We start from the raw sequence: 21,289 nt of genomic DNA, 5'->3' as shown, positions 1-21,289 counted from the left end.
CAGGGATTACAGGCACCCGCCACCACGCCCAGCTAATTTTTGTATTTTTGGTAGAGACAGGGTTTTACTGTGTTGGCCAGGCTGGTCTCGAACTCCTGACCTCAAGTGATCCATCCTCCTCGGCCTCCCAAAGTGCTGGGATTATAGGTGTGAGCCACTGCGCCTGGCCTCTAAATAATTATTAAAGTGAAATCCAGGTTATGTGTTGAAAACATTAGGTACATGAAAAATACATGAACTTGAGTAAAGATACACTGAATGAGAATGAGGGGACAGTTTTTTTGCTTTTTTTTGATACAAAGTCTCACTCTGTTACCTAGGGTAGAGTGCAATGGCATGGCATGATCATAGCTCACTGCAGCCTCAACCTCCTGGGCTCAACCCTGCCAAGTAGCTGGGACCACAGGCACACTCTGCTGTGCCTGGCTAATTTTTTCTTTTTTTGTAGATGGGGTCTTACTATGTTGCCCAGGCTGGTTCAAGACCTTGGCCTCCCAAAGTGCTAGGATTACAAGCATAGCCACCACATCTGGCCCAGGGATAGCTCTTATTTAAGACTTCAGTGGAACTAAATGGAAGGGGGGCAGGGATGGAAAATTTGGAGTCAGGGGAACGTCTTCATTGAAATGTTGTGGTCCTATTCGTAAACTCTTTTATGAGAAAAACAACGTTTATTTCCAGGGCTTAAACTTGTTATAAAAAAGTTAAACACAGGAGATAGGAACTCCTAAGTAAAATATGTGAGGAGTCTTATATTAAATTGCAGCTTCACTTCAGTCAGAATCAGTATAGTATTGGAATTATTGCATTTTCCCTAATAGAGGCTCCCAAAGAAGTGAAGCATAGAATTTAGTGTGCTGGAGTTCTCAGTTATAAATGTAGTGTTCTGTTTTCTTCCTGTCCACTAAACAATCCAAGTGGAAATGGAAATCTATTTGGGATATAAATAAACTAGTCAGCAGACTGTTCTGTGGTAGCATAAATGCTCATAAGTTTCAAATCACAAGGGACAAGAGTAGTGTTCTGAGGGCAGAGAATAGCTCTCCTTCCTGAGTAGCATGTTATTTTGTGGAAGGAGCAAGAAACTGTCATTTCACTGAGTGGCTGATTCACATACATGAATTGCTGTGATCGTAAGACTCTCTTTTTTTTTTGCTGAAATTCCTCAGGTATCATTAACCCAATTGAAGCCAAGCAGAGAAAGGGAAAAGGTGCTGTGGGGGCTTATGGATCCGAGCGCACCACTCAGTCCATGCAAGACTTCCCTGTGGTTGACTCAGAGGAAGAAGCTGAAGAGGTAACTGGAAGTCAGGAGACATGGGTGGATGGTGTCCTGTCCATTTCTAATGGCTGTTCATTTATCCCTTCATTCTGTTAGTCCTCAGATGTTTATTGTACATGTACCGTATGCCAGGTACTGGGCTGAAGGCTAGGTGCACCATGATGAGAGGGCTAGGGTGGACAGAGAGTAAACAAGCAGCTGTGGTGTGGAAGTGGCAGTTGAAATGGCAGAAGGTGCCAGGAGCTGCCTAGACAGAAAATAAGGCTGGGGGTTGGGAGGTGGTGTTGACCTACTTTTATAAATAGGCTGGTCAGGGAAACCTTTTGGGAAAGGAAACATTTCAGTTGAGACTTGGCAGAAGGGTGAGCTGACAAGCCAGAGGACACTGAGAGGCTCTGAGCTTGGTGGTTAAGAAACCATAAAGGAAGCCCTTGCGGTGGGAGGGCGGTACACAAAGCAGAGGGGAAGGAAGTGCATTCAGAGGGGTGGGTGGTCCACAAGACAGCCATGACAGCCATTTTTAGGTGCTCAGGTTTCATCCCAAGTGCAGCAGGGAGCCATCTGCTGGCAGCTGTGTGTCCCTTTTCCCCAGTGATAGAAAGGGCCAGCTCTCTTGATTGAAGTATTACTCTTTTCCTGTTTGAATTTATGGGGGAAAGCAGGATGCTGCAAAGAGACATGTTACTCTTCATGTCACTGACCTTTTCATGAAAGAGTTATTTGATAAATGTGGGATTGACCACTGTGAGTCAGGTGTTCTCAGAAGCCTACAGGTGCCAGGCACACCACAGAAGCAAGTAAGATGAGCCAGGTGCTAGACAATAAAGAGTGGTGGGGACTGTGGCACAGAGGTGAGGCTGTAGTCTGTCTAGAAGGTAAATCTTTATTCAGCTCTAGGTGATTGTTGCTTATGAGGATGTGGGCTCAGTATTGCCTGATCCTCTGATTTTCCCAAAGTAGCCAGATGTCTAGATACTTTTAGAGAAAAAATGACAAGTCTTAACCAGTATGAGAAAAACATAGTGACAACCCCAAAACCAACTTCTGTGGGCTGGACTTTACTACCGTCACACTAAGAAAGTTTACAAATTTGTGTTCGTAAACAGGCCGTATTCAGAGCCGTCCTGGGCTGCGGGTTGGACAAGCTTGCCTTAGCTCCTCCTCTAGAAAGGTTTTGCAGACCCTGATTGTAAGAGACACCTTTGCTTTGAGAGTTAGGGCCTGCTTATTTATCTTCATTTTAAAGTTAGAAACAAGGTTTTGTGTGCTTAAAAAATCCTTTACATTGCATTTCTAAGTTTTACATGAGGTACATTTAAAAGTAGTATAGTGCCTGCCCATAGTAGATGCTCAATAAATGTTGTTTCGTTTATCTTTATTTTTGTTTCTCCCTCCCATCTGGTGTACCTGCCTTCTGAACCTCATTATTTGTAAGAGGGCGAATGGGGTCAAGGAGTATCATTAGATAGTTTTGGTGTCTTGCAGGTGCATCCTTTCCTTCCTTCATATAGAGCTTGTAAATAAATCTAAGACAGTGAATGGTGACATCTGCTAATGGTCTCAGCTACCTCACCTGTGGTAAAAAGTGGTTGTTCCTTGCTGCATCTGACTGTATTCTTCTGGTTCAGGAGTTTCAGAAGGAGCTGAGCCAGTGGAGGAAAGACCCAAGTGGAAGCAAGAAGAAGCCCAAATACTCTTACAAGACCGTGGAAGAGTTGAAGGCCAAGGGCAGGATTAGCAAGAAGCTCACTGCTCCCCAGAAGGAACTTTCTCAAGTCAAGGTACAGGGGCCCTTGGACACCTGGTACAGGATCCACACCCCAGAAATAATCACTGAACATGTTCGAGGGTTTTTTGGATCTTTTAGCTAGGCTTTTTTTTTTTTTTTTTTTTTTGGTACCTTGCTTTTCTCACTTATTTATAGGAGTGTAATGAATAGGAACATGCTCACATAGTATTAATATCATGTTCCTATTCATTACACTCCCATATTTAGTAATAGTTACCAAGTTCCTTCTCTGCTAGGCACTCTTCACGGCACTACACTGGTAAACCAAATGATGTTCCTGTGTTTCTGGAGCTTACATCAGTGAATTTAATAACATTCTTGTTATTAAAAACTCAGTGCAAAGTGTTTATAATGAGCACGTAATTCCAGAGAGTGGCTGTGCTGTATTATTTGATCCTACCTCCGTTGTTAGACATTTAGCTTTTATCTGGTTTAGTTTGGGTTTTTGGCTGGTTAGTTTGTATATAAAACTTTGTCTTTGTTTCAGACATTTTTTAAGGATAGACATGTACATGTGCAATCACCATGTTGAATACAAAAGTACTTAAGGCATTTAAATACTCAGAAGGTTGTATTAACTCTCTCTGACCAGGAGGGCAGGAGAGAGTCCCCAGGGCTCCTTAGCCAGCATTGAGTATTTTCTTTTTTTAAGATAGATTAAATTTTCAGCCACTGTTACGTCCATGTAGTGTATTAAGTTTTCCATTACTTGGCTGGGGATGGTGGCTCACGCCTGTAATCCCAGCACTTTGGGAGGCCTAGGCGGGCAGATCACAAGGTCAGGAGATCGAGACCGTCCTGTAACATGGTGAAACCCCGTCTCTACTAAAAATACAAAAAATTAGCCGGATGTGATGGTGGGCGCCTGTAGTCCCAGCTACTCGGGAGGCTGAGGCAGGAGAATGGCATTTACTCAGGAGGCGGAGCTTGCAGTGAGCGGAAATCGTGCCACTGCACTCCAGCCTGGGGGACAGAGCGAGACTCCGTCTCAAAAAAAAAAAAAAAAAAAAAAAGTTTTCCGTTACTTTTCCAAGTAGTCAAAGAACAGTGGTGACAGTTGCCTGTTGTCATTTGCTGTAGGATATGTAGTGTGTCATAGACCTCAAAGAAAGCCTTTAGTGGGGTTCTCAAACGTGCTGTTATCTGGACGACCTGATAAGAAATAAGAGTGTCTAGGTGCCTCCCAGGAATTGAGTCTAGACTGAACCTCAGGACTCTTTTTTTTTTTTTCCTCCAGTGAGTCTAAAGCTGGTGGTTCATGGATCACACTCTTACTTAAAAAGTGGTGATGAATCATTCTGTTTCAGAAGTGTAGTCCGTATTCACATTTCCTGTTTTCCTAAAATATTGGAATTAGCTCATTGTCTAGGTTGCCTTTGTTCAGTTAGCCTTTTGTATATTTTATTTTGTTTTAAAATTAAAAGGCTGGGCGCAGTGGCTCATGCCTGTAATCCCAGCATTTTGGGAGGCTGAGGCAGGCGGATCACAAGGTCAGGAGATTGAGACCTTCCTGGCTAACACAGTGAAACCCCATCCCTACTAAAAATACAAAAAATTAGCCAAGTGTAGTGACGGGCGCCTGTAGTCCCAGCTACTTGGGAGGCTGAGGCAGGAGAATGGCTTAAACCCAGGAGGCGGAGCTTGCAGTGAGCTGAGATCGTGCCACTGCATTCCAGCCTGGGCAACAGAGCGAGATTCTGTCTCAAAATAAATAAATAAATTAAATTTAAAAAAACTTTGTTATTACACAGCAGTGTGTAGTACATTTTAGAAAATTAGGAAATAGGCAAAAATGTAGAAAATATTTTCCATCCTTCCAAGATTACCAAATGTTAACATCTTGTTATACATCCTAGATCTTTTTCTATGCTTATGTGCATTTTTTAAATCAAAATGTGATATTCTGATTGTATGTTACCTTCTTTGATCAGTACAGCTTCTACCTTTCCATTAAAATAAATTTTCACATCTACTAATACTCAGTCCCTATTTAAATTTCATGTTTCCCTAAAAAGTCTTCTCCATCTGGCTTGTTCACAGTGATCCAACCTAGAACTGCTTGCTGCATCTGATTTTGTCCCTGGAGTCTCCTTTAGGCTAGGACAGTATGGTTCCCACTTTACAACACTGCCCTTCTCCAGCTCTGTTGAATAATGTGGTTTCTACACACTTCCCCTGTCATGGGGCCTTCCCCTGGGCTTAGCTGTGTGTTTAACAGGGCTGCAGCGGTGTTAACCTTCATCCCTCTATGTTTTCCAAGGTCATAGACATGACAGGCCGGGAGCAGAAGGTCTACTACAGCTACAGTCAGATCAGCCACAAGCACAACGTTCCCGATGATGGGCTGCCGCTACAGTCCCAACAGCTGCCACAGTCTGGCAAAGAGGCCAAGGCCCCCGGCTTCGCGCTGCCCGAGCTGGAGCACAACCTGCAGCTGCTCATCGACCTCACGGAGCAGGAGATCATCCAGAATGACCGGCAGCTACAGTATGAGCGGGACATGGTGGTCAACCTCTTCCACGAGCTGGAGAAGATGACCGAGGTCCTGGACCACGAGGAGCGGGTCATCTCGAACCTCAGCAAGGTCCTGGAGATGGTGGAGGAGTGCGAGCGGCGGATGCAGCCCGACTGCAGCAACCCCCTCACCCTGGACGAGTGTGCCCGCATCTTCGAAACCCTGCAGGACAAGTACTATGAGGAGTACAGGATGTCCGACCGTGTGGACCTTGCTGTGGCCATCGTCTATCCACTCATGAAGGAGTACTTCAAGGAGTGGGATCCCCTCAAAGTGAGTTGCTGGGAAAATCAACCTATCCCTGCCTCTCGGTTGGGCTTACCCTTGCTTGATGAGTTGGTTCAATGGGCAGGGAGGGCTGGAGAGCCCGCTGCCCCTCAACTGCTCACCTTTCTCCTCAGGACTGCACTTATGGCACCGAGATCATCTCTAAGTGGAAAAGCCTCCTAGAGAATGACCAGCTCTTGTCCCATGGCGGACAGGACCTCTCAGCAGATGCCTTTCACAGGTACACCACAGAGCAGGGCTCTGTACCCCAGCTCCTTTCTCCTGGGGGGTTGGGAAGGATTGCTGAAGGTGGGGGAAGGCAGCAGTGCTGGCCTTGATTAATTCTCTGCTCATGCTGACAGTGCTTTAGGAATTTAAATTCATTTGGCTATGAATTTTTTTTTTTTAATTTTTTTGAAATGTTTTATTTCCATAGGGTTTGGGGAACAGGTAGTATTTGGTTACATGAGTAAGTTCTTTAGTGGTGATTTGTGAGATTTTGGTGTACCCATCTCCTGAGAAGTATACATTGAATCCAATTTGTAGTCTTTTTTTTTTTTTTTTTTTTGAGATGGAGTCTCACTCTGTCACCAGGCTGGAGTGCAGTGGCGTGATCGCAGCTCACTGCAACCGCCAACTGCCTGGTTCAAGCGATTCTCCTGCCTCAGCCTCCCAAGTAGCTGGGATCACAGGCACACGCCACCACGCCCAGCTAATTTTTGTATTTTTAGTAGAGACAGGGTTTCACCATGTTGGCCAGAATGATCTCAATCTCCTGACCTCGTGATCCACCCGCCTTGGCCTCCAAAAAAATGCTGGGATTCCAGGCGTGAGCCACCGTGCCTGGTTCAATTTGTAGTCTTTTATCCCTCACCCCCTTCCCATCCTTTCCCCGAGTCCCCAAAGTCCATTGTGTCATTCTTATGCCTTTGCATCCTCATAACTTAGCTTCCACTTATAAGTGAGAACATAAGATGTTTGGTTTTCCATTCTTGAGTTACTTCACTTAGAATAATAGTCTCCAATTCCAACCAACTTGCTGCGAATGCCATTATTTCATTCCTTTTTATGGCTGAGTCATATTCCATTATATTTATACCACAGTTTCTTTATCCACTTGTTGATTGGTGGGCATTTGGGTTGGTTCCACATATTTGCAACTGCGAATTGTGCTGCTGTAAATTTGTGTGAGCAAGTATCTTTCTCGTATATGACTTTTTTTTTTTTTTTTTTTTGAGATGAAGTCTTGCTTTGTCGCCAGGCTGGAGTGCAGTGGCACGATCTCGGCTCACTGCAACCTCTGCCTCCCGGGTTCAAGCGATTCTCCTGCCTCAGCCTCTCGAGTAGCTGGGACTACAGGCGCTCGCCACCATGCCCAGCTAATTTTTGTATTTTTAGTAGAGACAGGGTTTCACCATGTTGGCCAGGATGGTCTCGATCTCTTGACCTCGTGATCCGCCTGCCTTGGCCTCCCAGAGTGCTGGAATTACAGGCGTGAGCCTCCGTGCCCAGCCATGACTTCTTTTCCTCTGGGTAGATACCCAGTAGTGGGATTGCTGGATCAAATGGTAGTTGTACTTTTAGTTCTCTAAGGAATCTCCACACTGTTTTCCATAGTGGTTGTACAATTACATTTGGCCATGAATTCAGCTGACACTTGTCAAATGTCTGTTGCGTATCATGCTTGTGCTAGGTGCTGGGCTTACCCTAGGAGCACAGCAGACAGCCTCTGTCTACAGTACAGCAAAAAAAGCAGATGGGAAGTAAGGTAGTGAACAAATAAAGGCAGGATGCACACCAGGTACAGCGATAGAGAACTGCAGGAGCAACCTACTTGGAACGGGGGTTGGCACAGAGGTCTTAGGGGAGGTGACGTTGAAATTGTGATAAGAGGGTGAGAGGCATCAGCTCATGAATAGAAGCCTATAGGTGGGAAAGCACTTGATACCTGGGAAGAGGCCCTTGTGACCCTAAAGCAGCTCTGCCAGGTGGATGGGCACTACCTAGGAGACTGAGGCCTCAGATTGAGAGGAGAGTCAAGAGAACAAGGAAGAGGCAGGCTCAGTCTGGCCAGTATGGTGACTGGCCTGATGGTTTCCTCTGATTGGATTTCCATGCTGTTGCATTTTTATTCCTGATTCTAGAGAGGCAGGTGGTGGTGGTGTACTTTGAAACCAGTCAGTGTAATTAACCAGCCTGTCCTCTGCCTTTCTCCCATAGGTTGATATGGGAAGTCTGGATGCCTTTTGTTCGAAATATTGTCACCCAGTGGCAGCCAAGGAACTGTGACCCGATGGTGGACTTTTTGGATAGTTGGGTGCACATTATTCCTGTGTGGATCTTAGATAACATACTGGACCAACTCATCTTCCCCAAGCTGCAAAAGGAGGTGGGATGAGAGTCATGGGAAACAGTCGTCATCACTAATCACAGGGACTTGTTCAGTCTGTGGCTTCATTATCTCAGTGCTGTTAAAACGCCTGGAATTAACGGAATTTGTCAACACAACTATTGACCTATAGTGTTAATTCCAGCCTTTTTCTCAGCACTTTTTCCCCCAAGCCACCCTCAGGAGGGAATTCATTTTCTTGATTTTGTCACTAAAATTAGAATTGTGCTGTTTCTGAGATGTAATCAAATGGATGGGCATATTTGTTTGGCAATGTACAAAGGACTGTGGGCCTCAGAGAGCACAGGGCCTCCTCCAGGGGCAGCTCTTGCCTTTAGCCACACAGGGGTGTTATGTGACTGCCCCACAGGCGACATGAACTGTTTCTCCTCCCCACTTCGCAGGTGGAAAACTGGAACCCGCTCACAGACACTGTTCCCATCCACTCTTGGATCCACCCATGGCTGCCCCTTATGCAGGCACGGCTGGAGCCACTCTATTCCCCCATCCGTAGTAAGCTGTCCAGCGCCCTGCAGAAGTGGCACCCCAGCGACTCCTCTGCCAAGCTCATCCTCCAGCCCTGGAAGGATGTCTTCACTCCTGGCTCCTGGGAAGCATTCATGGTCAAAAACATAGTGCCCAAGCTGGGTAAGGATAAGGGGAAATGCATTCCAAGCCCAGCAGCTTTGGTGCCCTGGTTTCTGTGGTTAGCAGTGATGATTTAAAGCATCGCCTTTATGTTCATGAAAGTGCTTAGTACACAATATTCCTTGCTGTGAAAAAGGTAACATTTTGTTCAGAGGCTGAACATAAATGTAACTTGGGTCCTTTCCGCTGTTTATTTACAACAGTCACTAATAGTCGACAGTGACAATATCGGACTCTGTGCCTTGTGGTTTTCCCGATTGGTTTTGGCTTCTGGTAATAGGACAGCCATTGGAGTTCTAAAATTTTTGTGGTATTTTACTCTAAATTATTAGGGAGTTATTTCCAGGTTAGCAAAAAAAATATATATACATACACACACACACACACACATATATGTATATATATACACACATGCATATACATGTATATATACACATGTATATACACATATATGTATATACACACATATATATGTATATATGTATACACACACACACATATATATATGTGTATATATATACACATATATATTTTAAGAATCGCTATGTCGGGAGCTTAAATTTGACCTTTAAAAGCAGATTACAGCCTGAGCAACATGGTGAAACCCCATCTCTACCAAAAATACAAACCAGCCAGGTGTGGTGGCGGGCGCCTGTCGTCCCAGCTACTAGGGAGGCTGAGGCGGGAGGATGGCTTGAACCTCGGAGGCAGAGGTTGCAGTGAGCCAAGATCTGCCATTGCACTTCAGCCTGGGCAACAGTGAGACCCTGTCTCAACAAAAAAAAAAAAAAAAAAAAAAAAAAAAAAAAAAAGCCAGGAGTTGTGACTTATGCCTGTAATCCCAGCCCTTTGGGAGGCTGAGGTGGGCAGATCACCTGAGACCAGGAGTTTGAGACCAGCCTGGGCAACATGCCAAAACGCTGTCTCTAATAAAAACACAAAAATTAGTTGGCCACGGTGGTGCACACCTGTACTCCCAGCTACTCGGGAGGCTGAGGCACAAGAGTCACTTGAACCCGGGAGGCGGAGGTTGCTGTAAGCTGAGATGAAAACGGACATTGTCTTTGCTCTTTGTGCTTCTTTGGCTTTGCCAGTACTAAAGCTGTGCCTTACAGACCGGGTTTCTCTTCCAGGGATGTGTCTTGGTGAGCTAGTCATTAACCCCCACCAGCAGCACATGGATGCATTCTATTGGGTGATTGACTGGGAAGGGATGATCTCTGTCTCTAGCCTGGTGGGACTTCTTGAAAAGCACTTCTTCCCCAAGTGGCTTCAGGTACACTTTGTTTTGCTTGGATTTCTGGGGGAGGGAACTGGGTGGGGATTAAGTTAATTTTCTGCCAAGGCCTGACTGTAGGTACAATTCCATAATGAAAATAAATTACATGGTAGGGTAGGAATGAGTTAGGTCATCTTCATAGTGGGCACCATTTATTGGACATTTGCCATGTATCAGAAGCTGTTCCAAGCACTTTATTTGCTTTATCTCAGCTCCTCTCAGCAACCCTATGGGGTAGGGGATATGGTATCCCTGTTGTGTAGACATGGAAGCTGAGGCTCAGAGAGTTTACATGCAAGGGCACTTTAGCTACCAGGCTGACTCCAAAATCCATATTCATAAGTGCTAGACTGTTTAGCTACTATAAATCCCTGTAAAGTAGTGTCACTAGCCTGTAGGACCAGGATCAAAACAAAACAAATGGCCACTTCAGAAATCTTGCCTTCATTTGTTGCCACGATGGATGCAAGTAATTTTTCTTTTTGGCAGGTGCTGTGCTCTTGGCTCAGTAACAGCCCAAATTATGAGGAGATCACCAAGTGGTACCTGGGTTGGAAGTCGATGTTCTCAGACCAAGTGCTGGCACATCCATCTGTCAAGGACAAATTTAATGAGGCACTTGATATCATGAACCGGGCGGTGTCCTCCAACGTTGGTAAGTGAGGATTCCCATTTTGGATGTCCTGGCCCCAAGTTTCAGATTTTACACATGTAAATGACACAGAATCAGAGTTTTCTGGTTCCTGTAGGCAGCCTAAACCTTAGGTCACACTTTTGCACATAGCAACAGACTCTCACCCTGCTGACTGGGGTACATGGTCAGCTGGCACCCACTGCCCAGGTCTACCATGACTGAGAGGGGCATCTTCCCTGAGTGGAGACTGACTTAAGCTGGATTCAGATGATGTCAGTCTAACCCCAGGCCCCGCCCTCTTAACCACTGTGCTGTGTGGCCTTTTAAGGCTCATTCATGCCTGAGCATGCTGCTTAGGTGACGCATCTTACAGTGTGGAGTTTGGCACGCGGTCTGACACTTGGTGATTGCTCAGCCTTAATCAGCCCCATTTTACCTGTTAAACAGTAAGATCTACTTTATAGGCTAAAAGGGAGAGTGAGTTCATGCTTGTGTATAGCCTTCAATAGGTGGTGTCTGTGTTGTCAAAAACAGGCAGTTCACTGTTCGTGTACTATATCTGTTCCCAAGTTCTAGGTAAGTCATTCTGCCTAGATCATAAGTAAGTGAGAGTATATTTATGTTTCTACATTTGGGAGCCTATTTCAACCAGTCCTGTGCTCCAGTGTTGCTCATTAGCCGATTCGCAGCATTGAAATGGGATCGTCTAGTCTGTGTTTTACAGATAAGCCCAGCGAGGCTGAGAGCCTGTTCAAGGTCACATAGTTAAAGGGTGGCAGTTAGAACTGGAATTTCTATTTCCTGAGTCTTTAATTCTTGTTATTTAATAGCCTAGGCCAGGCACGGTGGCTCACGCCTGTAATCCTAGCACTTTGGGAGGCCGAGGCGGGTAGATCACGAGGTCAGGAGTTCGAGACCAGCCTGACCAACATGGTGAAACCCCGTCTCTACTAAAAATGCAAAAATTAGCCGGGCGCGGTGGCACATGCCTGTAATGCCAGCTACTTAGGAGGCTGAGGCAGAAGAATCGCTTAAACCTGGGAGGCAGAGGTTGTAGTGAGCCGAGATTGCAAGCACTGCACTCCAGCCTAGGTGACAAGAGCGAGACTCGGTCTCAAAAAAAAAAAAAGAAAAATAGCCTATTCTGTGAAAACAGAGATTAAGTAATAAGGCAAATATACTTCTCTGCTTCTGTAATTATCAAGTTTTTTCTAAAAACTCTTCCTTAGCTACCCTTGGCCTCATGTTTCCAAAACTGTTCCCTGAATATACCCCTCAATTAGCACTTAGCATTTATGGTCTTGGTATTATCCTTTAAACACTCATTTCAGCTCCCTAAATATATGTGAACTTCTTTCAGGATGGGGGCCCTGTGTGGGTAGGTTAAAAATAAAGCCAGTATGGGCCCTATGTTTTCAAGGTACTAAAAGCTGCCTCTTTGGTGGTGGGAAATGGAAACTCTACAGAGCAAGGTGGGAACAGAAGAGTGGCTGAGGACTCTCTGTTAATGTTTCCAGCTCTGAAGGAAGAAATCCCTTGCAGATACTTCATTTTAAAATGTTGAATATTAATAATCTGGTTACTAGATACTAGCCAGGAACCTTCTGAACAGTTTTTATGTGATACTGGCCAGTCGTCTAAACTTCCTCCAAAGTTGTATCTTTGAGGCAGAGCTGCCCTTCAGTGAGTCACAAGCACTCTGGCACACCCAAGACCTGGGCCAAGCCACAGTGTCAACTTCCATACACCTGGAAACACCTCTCCTCACCGCCCTGTCCTCCTGTATCTTAGGTGCCTACATGCAGCCAGGAGCACGGGAGAACATTGCCTATCTCACCCACACGGAGCGGAGGAAGGACTTCCAGTACGAGGCCATGCAGGAGAGGCGGGAGGCTGAGAACATGGCTCAGAGGGGCATTGGCGTGGCCGCTAGCTCTGTGCCCATGAACTTTAAGGACCTCATTGAGACCAAGGCTGAGGAGCACAACATTGTCTTCATGCCCGTCATTGGGAAGCGACACGAAGGGAAGCAGCTCTACACCTTTGGCCGCATTGTGATCTACATCGACCGGGGAGTGGTCTTTGTCCAGGGCGAGAAGACGTGGGTGCCCACCTCACTGCAGAGCCTGATCGACATGGCCAAGTGAACTGTGGCAGGTCCAGAACCAGTCAGAGACTTGCCCCTAAGAGGGATGTACTGTAAATAAACAGTATTTTTAGATCACCTTCAAAAGGGTAACTTCTTTACTCAGGAGCTACTCCACATCAGGCCAGGTCATGAGGGAAGGATGTAAAATGGGACAATGCCACGTAGGGCAGGAATCTTTATACCAAGTCCTCATGTGGGGTATCGTCCTCAAAACAGGACAGCCAAGTTGATGTTCTTTCCTGGCAAAGGAGTTCTCTGTAGTTCCTCCATAGCAGCCTTCCCTTTAGTCTCTGGTGGCAGCTTCTACCTCAGCCAACACTGAGTACCTCACAACGAGTTCAGTCAGTAGCAGAAGGATCTTCTCTCTTGTTCCTGATGATTTCAAGGTCCTCACAGTCCTGATAATCTGGTTCTTCCCGAAACTCCCAAATATCTATGGAGAGCTGTTCTAGCTTTTGCACAGGGAACCAGTGGACAGAGGTATCATTAAATATGTCCATGTATTGTGAAGTCTGAGGAAACTCAAGCTCCTCCAGTCCTTTTAAAATCTGAGCAGAAAAATTCAAGTATAAAAACTTCAGATAGTCACAGTAATCCCCACTCTTCTGGGATAAATTTCCACTTTACTTGTCATCCCCACTTTACTTTTTAAAAAAATAACAAATAGGGTATTTTGATTTAAATGCTTTTGCACAATGAATTGGGCGCCCCAAGGACAGTGGATATCATGGACTGTGATACTAAGAATAAAGGAAATAAGGAAAAAACTAAGAGATGCATTAAAGAGTCATAGCTTTCTGGAACACAGACCCATGGAGAGAGCTGACAGTACACTAGCGCCACTTAGCCCATGAGTTTCCTCCTACGCCTGTAAAGAAAGATAGAATTCTTCACAGTTTCACACCCTTTTCCATCCCAGCCCCTTTATTCAGATAGATACCTTTGCAATGTAGGGATAATTTTTCTGCAGAATCCTTGCCAACAACCTAGAAATTAAAAAAAACCAAAAAAACAAAAAAAAAACACCATGATTAGGAGGTATGAGGATAGTTTCATTCAACTTTTAAGACACATAGAAGGGCAAGATGATTGAAGCATAGTAAGAATTCAGGAAAAAACTCAAGATGTGGAGTAAACCAGTTAAATAGTTGAAAATGTGGGCCAGGCGCAGGTAATCCCAGCACTTCAGGAGACTGAGGCGGGCGGATCATTTGAGGTCAGGAGTTCAAGACCAGCATGGCCAACATGGTAAAACCCCATCTCTACTAAAAATAAAAAAATCAGCCGGGCGTCCTGGTGTGCATCTGTAATCCCAGCTACTCATTAGGCTGAGGTAGGAGTATCGCTTGAACCCAGGAGACAGAGGTTGCAGTGAGCTGAGATCATACCACTGCACTCCAGCCGGGGGGACAGAGTGAGACTCCATCTCAAAAAAAAAAAAAAAAAAAAAAGCAAATATTCCAGTAATTGTGCCCATTTCATCAAGAGAAATGACTGAGCAGACTCCTAAGCACGTGAAACAGAATGAGGACGTGGAGCTGTAGGCAGAGGAATCAAATAGCTTTTCCCTGTTTTCAAAACCATTTCTGTGTATCATAATGGAAGGGAGGAATTCGTGGCAAAAAGACTCCTTAACTTGCTTCATAGTTCGAATCAGGATTTGACATCTGTCTTTAAGCCTTCATCCAGTTCCCTGTGGAAAAGCATTTCCCCAGTATGGAATCGTCAAGGAAATGTTTTCTGCATGTGGGTCAATCTGAGGTATGGGCTTCACCTCAGGGCCTGACAGAATCTCAGCATTCTCAGACTTACCTCTCCTCAAGTCCTTTGAAACTGTTCCCAATGATGACCATCTTAGAAAGGGCATCTACTGACCAGTTACTCCATAAAAGATTGTTGTACAAGGCCGTCCCACAATGGAGCATGTAAAAGATGGTAGGCTCCCCGCGAATACTCCGTTTCCCTTCCTGGGGATACGATATTCACAGGTGTAAACATGCCCACAACCTATTCTTTACAGCAAGGTGAGGGAGAGGTAAGGATGGGGATAATCATGAGACAAACTAAAGGATCAAAAGGAAAAAAGCTCATTTTGTGGAACAGTTACACTCGTATATGAAATCTATAGTTACAGGACTAAAGAGTCAGGAAATCATGATGTCCCGAAAGAACTCATGTTTACTTAACAAATGTACACATTGTGTTCTCATGAACACAAAGCCCTGCACTGATGGAGGGGCTTCCTGGGTCTATGACGGCAAGAACAGGAGGGATAGTGATGTTACTTACCCCATGTATTTCCCCTGTGTTCAGTAATCCACACTTCCTATGTCACTTCCTGCAGATCTGCATAACTAAGTCCTCTTCCAATGTCCCTGAGGCACAATCACCCCTCCTGAGAACCACTGCTCTCTGGCCAAACTCCAGCAGGGAACATAAGGCCCTTTGTCTGACCCTTGCCCACCTCTGGCCTGCCTCTCCTCTCCTTGCAGCTTCCCTTGTGTTAATAACAAACTGGCAGTGGTTTCCTGAACAGCCAGCACTGCACAGCTACCTTCAATCCTGGTTCTGTCCCACTAGCAAACTCCTGGTAGACCTTCAAAGCCCAGCTCAGACCCAGGAATCCTTCCTCCATCCCTCCGAACACCTGTCGTAGTACAAGGTTCTGCCTCAGTATTTCATTCCTCATTCACTTGTTGACCATGGGCTCCCTGAACACAGGGACTGGCTCCCATTTTTCTTGGTCTCCCCAAAGCTCCCTGCCTAGCACAGAACAGGCACCCAGAAAGATGATCTGAACTGAGTGACAGTGTTTTAGGACCTTGCCAATATCAGGGAATGACTCTTCTCTCAACTGAGCCAAATTTTCATACATAATAAGCAATAAGATGGCAGTTTCAGCACACACACAGGAATCAAAAGATTCTAATCCCCAAGACAATACAAAACCGAAATCGGAGGGATTTGCTCATACTGGCTTTGGCCCTGTGCTTTAGGGATGCATTTCTTTATTCCACAGGTCTCAGAAATGTCAAATCCCAGCTATTTTGGGGGGTGCAAACATGGGCAGAGAATTAATCCACAACTCACAGCCAGGTGCTATGGGTTTGACTGGGTTATAGCATCAAAGAGGAATGCTGCATCCCCTTTTATTACCTCCCTGGGACAGGATAAAATCCAACCACAAAGACCTCACTTGAGGCACCTAGACTTTTATGTTTCAGTAGCAACAGCAAATACCAAGTTAGCATAATTTCCAGACAAATAATTCTCAAAAAAGTGGTGCAGACCTAACATGTTCTGGTTCATGCTATCTGTGTAATTTTTTTCTGATGGGCACAACACAAGCCAAAATGTAGGTAACTGATTGGCTGGTTACATCGTTCAGGCACTACAAAAGTGAGCAGGCGGTAAGAGAGGAATGGCTGCCACTGCAAAGAATGCTGGTGTCCACAGGCAGGGCCTGGGGTGAGTCTGGTCAGGATTTTTACAGTTCTGTCTGCTCCCCTTTAAACCACTTACCTCGTTCTCACTGAGAACAGTCACACCAAGGGTGTTAAGGACTTCAATTTCAAGTTGGCTAAACAGAGGGTCATATACCCAACAGTGACTTCTGGGAATCTAGAAGGGAAGAATGAGTTGTTTACTTCAACCCAAACATCTGTGTGCACCCATGTATAGGACCAGAGGAGGAGGAGATGAAAATGAATCCAAAAATGTACCTGGCACTTTTCCAACAAAAGCAGCAAAAACGTTAGCTGGTTTCTAGCTACGATGCAGGTGGCAAAGTTCCCAATGCCGTAACACACACACTTCAAATGGCAGGTTCCTGTGACCAAGATCTCTCTTGGGATAGAATCAGTGGCCACATCTGACTCCTCTGGCAATGAGTCAAGATGCAGGTTTCCAAAGATGTCTGAAAGAGTCCCCACAGGGGCCTTCAGTTGTTCCAGATGTTTTGTGAGACATCTATTGATGGTTTCTGAAAGAGCAGGCCCCCAAATGCAGTTAGAGGGCATGTTCTGACCCTGTGAACCAAATCATCCACAAAAGAAGTTCACATATTTGGGGAGAAAGAGATCAGGGCAGTAAAAGGTTTCAATTCTTCAGAGAGAGAGAGAAGCTGCCAGCCTCATTCCCAAACATGCCTGGACATACAGTCACATTCACCACCAATTGACAAACTGTCCCGGCCCCTGGACTCCCAAAACCCAAGAGCATGTTGCAAGCAGAAATTGGGTTTCACTCAAGGGCAGTTTCCATCTAAAACTCTAATGTGAACTCATTCTAATTTAACAAGACCCTCCTAGTAAATGTAGACTATGCTCTGAAATGCGTACTTTTAAAGTTGTAACAAACCAGGTGCTCACGCCTGTAATCCTAGCACTTTGGGAGGCCTAGGTGAGTGGATCGCCTGAGGTCAGGAATTCAAGACCAGCCTGGCCAACATGGCAAAACCCCATCTCTACTAAAAATACAAAAAATTAGTCAGGCGTACTGGCGCACAGCTGTAGTCCCAGCTACTTGGGAGGCTGAAGCAGAAGAATCACTTGAACCAGGGAGGTGGAGGTTGCAGTTAGCCGAGATCACACCGCTGCATTCCAGCCTGGGCAACAGAGCAAGACTCCATCTCAAAAAAATAAAATAAAGTTATACTCTGTTTAAGTCTTCTCATGTAGAGGTAGGTTCTCTTGTCTCTCCTTTTATTGTACTGGTACTGAATTTAGCAAAACAAAAAAAGCCGTGCATTCCAATAAGATACCAACTTTTCACTTAAGATACCAGCAAAGGGCCAGGCATGGTGGCTCACACCTGTAATCCCAGTACCTTGGGAGACCGAGGTGGGCAGATCACTTGAGGTCAGGAGTTCGAGACCAGTCTGGCCAACATGGTGAAACCCCATCTCTACAAAAATACAAAAATTAGCCAGGGGTAGTGGCACACACCTGTAGTCCCAGCTACTCAGGAGACTGAGGCAGGAGGATTGTTTGAACCCAGGAGGTGGAAATTGCAGTGAGCAGAGATCACACCCCTACACTCCAGCCTGGGTGACACAGTGAGACTCCGTCTCAAAAGAAAAAAAAAAAAAAAAAAAAGCAGCAAAGACATCTTTAAACAAGACCCCAAGCCAGGAAAAACTGGCTCTTCAGGTCAATTTTGATAAAAGAATTGGTGAAAATTTTCTGGATAACTTGACAATAGATATCAAGTTGGTCACCGCCTTTCATTTAATTCTACTTCTGGGAATATATCCTAAGAAGATCATCCTAAGTTTGGTAAAAGCTTTATGCATAAAGTTACTCATTGCAAAATTATGTATAATAACTTAAAAAGGCTGGTTGTGGTGGCTCATGCCTATAATCCCAGCGCTTTGGGAAGCTGTAGGTGGGAGGATCACTTGAGCTCAGGAGGTACAGGTTGCAGTGAACTATGATTGCATCATTGTACTCCAGCCTAGGCGAAGAGTAAGACACTGTCCTAAAATAATAACTGAAAAACAACAGAAGAAAACTAAATGTCCCACAATAAAAATGATACCTATGGTATGTCCACTCCATGCATAAATATTATGTCGCCACCCACACACTATGTTTAGGAAGAGATTATCACTGCACGAGGAAAAGGCTACATTGTAATATCATGGAAAAGGAACAGGATAAATATAAATTTCAGCAATAATAATGACAACATTTATTGCCTTGTATACAGCAGGCAAGCATTTAACTAAACAGCTTCAATTCTCAAAACTATAGGATATACACATTATCTCCATTTCACAGATAAAGAAACTGAGGATCAGAATTAAGTGCCAAAAGACATACAGCTGTAAGGGGCGGGCGGCGTTAGAACCCAGCAAGTTATCCCTCTGTGAAGCAAAATGTCCTCAAATGAGGACTGATTCTCTTTTCTGCCCCACAATCCCTACCATTGGCCAAGTGGTACCCACCTAGTGCTGAACTCCAGAAATCAGAGATAAACAGGTCCTTCCTGTTGAGAAAAAAAATGGCACAGTCATGTCCCACCCATCTCAGGGCTGCCCCAACAGTAACTTTCCTGATCATGACCTGAATGCTTACAGAATGAGGTGCCCTGCAATGCAGGGCCCACCCTTACCAAGTGATAGGAGGGGGATATATGTTGAATATGTCCAGAGCCAGAGCACATACTGCTGGGGCTCAGAGACTGCAGGAGAGAGTATGCTGGAGGAGGTCCTTGATTCCCAGAGAGAGATCTGGGTCTATTCTCAGTCTACAACAGAGCCTAGCATAGAATTGCAGCTCAATAAATGGTTGTTAAGTGCTCAGAATTAGCCTTTCTGAGCTTTAGTTTCCTCATCTCTAAAATGGGGATAAAAATCATTCCCAACACGGAGGAGTTTAGAGGCATAAAATGGGTTAACATTCTTAGCCCAGTGTCTGGCACATAGCAGGTACTCAACAAATGGTATTTGTTATTATAAATAGTTTTAAGGGGAAAGTAAAGAGACAAAACCAAGTGTCTGGGCTTTCTTTATTCAAGTCAACTGGTTTTACAGACCCAGAGCAAAAGAAAGTCAACAGTGAATTAAAATGAACTGGATTTAAACTGACAAGCCACAGCCAGAGACAGTGATTATGGGGTTCAGAAAGGAGTACAGAGAATTGAAAGTCGGCCCAGAGGCTGCTGCACGTTTCTCACAGAGGGTAGAGAGTTCTGATGTACACAGGAATGCTTTATGAACTGGTAAATGCGTACACAGATATGCGTGTAAAATGCTGGCTCAATCTCTACTCAGAGCGATGGTGATTGCACCACACTTGGGTGTTGGGAGAAGCAAGGAGCTCCTGGGGAATACTGAAGCAGTTGAGGAGATCGTGACAGTGTCAAGGGATATGAAAAATGCCTTGAGTTTTCCAAACCCCTAGGCACATTCACTCTCACTGGCATCCTCTGAGAGCTTAAAAATAATCGCAGGTGCTTTTTATTCAGGCTGAGCCAAATGGTCAGCAACTTTCTCTTCAGAGGTAAACTCTGGGACATTACTGCCTCTTGACCCTAATTCTAGGGGAGAGGAGCACACAAAATTAATCTAATTTCTCCCCTTGTGACGGCCCTTCGGATGCTGATCTTAAGTGCTAACTAAAGCTGTTATTTATTGAGCCTAAACAAAACTGCGAATAAAGATAATAATACTAAATAACAATAATAAGTAACATTTATTGAGTGTTTCCTCTGTATTAGGCACTCTCTATGTACTTTCTAAGGTACAGAGCAAGGTATGTGAGAATCTGGGCTGGGATAAGCAACAAGCATAATGGAAAGCTGGAAGCACTGGTTTTTGTCACAAAGACCTGGGTTTGAAATCTGGTTCCACACATTTTCTTTGTCTCTTTGAGAATCAGTGAGCTACCAGGGTCCTAGTATGCCTGCAATGTTTAACATAAAGTGTGTAGAATGATTAAGCTAATGTCAGGCACATAGCAGCTGCCTGATGATAGCAGTCACGTGTTCATGTTGCTTCCCTCGTGTCACCACCACCAATAATATCAACATCGGCATAATATTAATAGCAAACACTGGCACAGTGCTTACCACGTGCCAGAAAATGGTTTCCGTTTACTAATTCATTGAATCCTCAAAACAAACCTACGTATGTACTATTTTCATCCCCATCTCACAGATGAGAAAACTGAGGCACAGAGATTATAAATTGTCCAAGGTCACGCAGCTGTAACCGTAATAAAAGGAAAGACGACCTTTAACTGAGCGCTTACTATAATCCACATCTTTAATGAGCTCGTTACCTACGTTAACTCTTCACAATAACTCCTTAAAGGGTGTGCATTATATCTCCACTCTACAGATGGGGAGACTGTGGCTCAGAATTGCCCATGGGCGCAAAGATTCCATCAGGGCCGAGCCTGCACTCACTCAGCCTCCCAGATGCGACGAAGCACGACTCCGCTGTCAGACTCGAACTCCGCCTCGGGGCCCCGGGGCGCCGCCTCTCTCCCCCGGGGCGCCGCCTCTCTCCCCCGGGGCGCCGCCTCCCTCCGCCGCGGCCGTCGAGCCGCGGAGCGCCTCTTCCGCGGAGCCGCCGCCTGCCAGGATTCCAGCGCCGCAGCTGCGGCCGCAGCCATTGGTCTCTGACGTCAGCGGCGTGCGGCGCACTCGGCACGTCATCGCCGCGCGCCGGCTTGCCAGGAGCTGGAGGGGGAGGTAGGCGGGGCGGCGCGTGACCTAAGGCCTCTCTGCCGCGCGCGCAGGTACGGGGCAGAAGTCGCAGGTACCCAGCTGCTGCCCACATTTCTGGTCCAGAGTCCCGAACCCCGAGCACTGGGATGCCTGGCTACTCCG

The 21,289-nt window shown here is 45.4% G+C and overlaps 3 protein-coding genes across 62 annotated transcripts in view, besides 4 other annotated features; 2 read left to right on the top strand and 1 right to left on the bottom strand.

The window, feature by feature from the left end:
- The window catches only part of TFIP11 (tuftelin interacting protein 11), a 21,234-nt gene extending 7,511 nt beyond the window's left edge, over positions 1-13,723 (top strand). For all 7 annotated transcript variants that reach the window (NM_001346861.2, NM_001346862.2, NM_001346859.2 and 4 more), the window contains 9 exons: positions 1,170-1,297; positions 2,911-3,063; positions 5,332-5,859; positions 5,988-6,094; positions 8,074-8,242; positions 8,647-8,890; positions 10,024-10,166; positions 10,659-10,824; positions 12,595-13,723. In NM_001346861.2, the coding sequence (NP_001333790.1) occupies positions 1,170-1,297; positions 2,911-3,063; positions 5,332-5,859; positions 5,988-6,094; positions 8,074-8,242; positions 8,647-8,890; positions 10,024-10,166; positions 10,659-10,824; positions 12,595-12,950 (1,994 nt within the window). In that variant the 3' untranslated portion in view covers positions 12,951-13,723. The remainder of the gene's footprint in view (positions 1-1,169; positions 1,298-2,910; positions 3,064-5,331; positions 5,860-5,987; positions 6,095-8,073; positions 8,243-8,646; positions 8,891-10,023; positions 10,167-10,658; positions 10,825-12,594) is intronic.
- Positions 1,855-1,924: a silencer, noted in NCBI's record as "silent region_13570". NCBI's record gives its function as "represses an Ori minimal core promoter by ATAC-STARR-seq in GM12878 lymphoblastoid cells {active_cell/tissue: GM12878}" and the evidence as "EXISTENCE:reporter gene assay evidence [ECO:0000049][PMID:35858748]".
- On the bottom strand, positions 10,305-21,086 carry SRRD (SRR1 domain containing). Of its 3 annotated transcripts, none has more exons than XM_011530178.3 (7): positions 20,864-21,086; positions 18,900-18,940; positions 16,675-16,980; positions 16,475-16,573; positions 14,765-14,919; positions 13,893-13,938; positions 10,305-13,500 (listed from the first exon to the last, which is right to left on the bottom strand). In XM_011530178.3, exons 3-7 carry the CDS (start codon positions 16,969-16,971, stop codon positions 13,291-13,293), a joined length of 807 nt encoding a protein of 268 aa, XP_011528480.1. In that variant the 5' UTR covers positions 16,972-16,980; positions 18,900-18,940; positions 20,864-21,086; the 3' UTR covers positions 10,305-13,290. The 3 variants fall into 3 exon arrangements, with proteins under 3 accessions (XP_011528480.1, NP_001013716.2, XP_016884288.1); NM_001013694.3 differs by having other exon boundaries at positions 16,675-16,934; XM_017028799.3 differs by lacking the exon at positions 14,765-14,919 and having other exon boundaries at positions 16,675-16,934.
- Positions 10,476-11,675: an enhancer, noted in NCBI's record as "MED14-independent group 3 enhancer chr22:26889254-26890453 (GRCh37/hg19 assembly coordinates)". NCBI's record gives its function as "activates an origin of replication core promoter dependent on BRD2, BRD4, P300/CBP and CDK7 cofactors, and independent of MED14, by STARR-seq in HCT116 cells {active_cell/tissue: HCT116}" and the evidence as "EXISTENCE:reporter gene assay evidence [ECO:0000049][PMID:35650434]".
- Positions 20,903-20,992: a silencer, noted in NCBI's record as "silent region_13569". NCBI's record gives its function as "represses an Ori minimal core promoter by ATAC-STARR-seq in GM12878 lymphoblastoid cells {active_cell/tissue: GM12878}" and the evidence as "EXISTENCE:reporter gene assay evidence [ECO:0000049][PMID:35858748]".
- Positions 21,013-21,132: an enhancer, noted in NCBI's record as "active region_18791". NCBI's record gives its function as "activates an Ori minimal core promoter by ATAC-STARR-seq in GM12878 lymphoblastoid cells {active_cell/tissue: GM12878}" and the evidence as "EXISTENCE:reporter gene assay evidence [ECO:0000049][PMID:35858748]".
- HPS4 (HPS4 biogenesis of lysosomal organelles complex 3 subunit 2) overlaps positions 21,100-21,289 on the top strand; it is a 40,755-nt gene continuing 40,565 nt past the window's right edge. For 21 of the 52 annotated variants that reach the window (XR_007067989.1, NR_146316.2, XR_007067988.1 and 18 more), the window contains exon 1: positions 21,180-21,289. The gene's annotated coding sequence lies outside the window, so the exon portion shown is untranslated. The other 31 variants (XR_001755364.2, XR_007067985.1, XR_007067983.1 and 28 more) reach the window with 2 other exon arrangements.

This window comes from Homo sapiens, chromosome 22 (assembly GCF_000001405.40).
Source record: "Homo sapiens chromosome 22, GRCh38.p14 Primary Assembly".
Taxonomy (NCBI): domain Eukaryota; kingdom Metazoa; phylum Chordata; class Mammalia; order Primates; family Hominidae; genus Homo; species Homo sapiens.
This window is presented reverse-complemented; position numbering and strand designations above follow the sequence as displayed.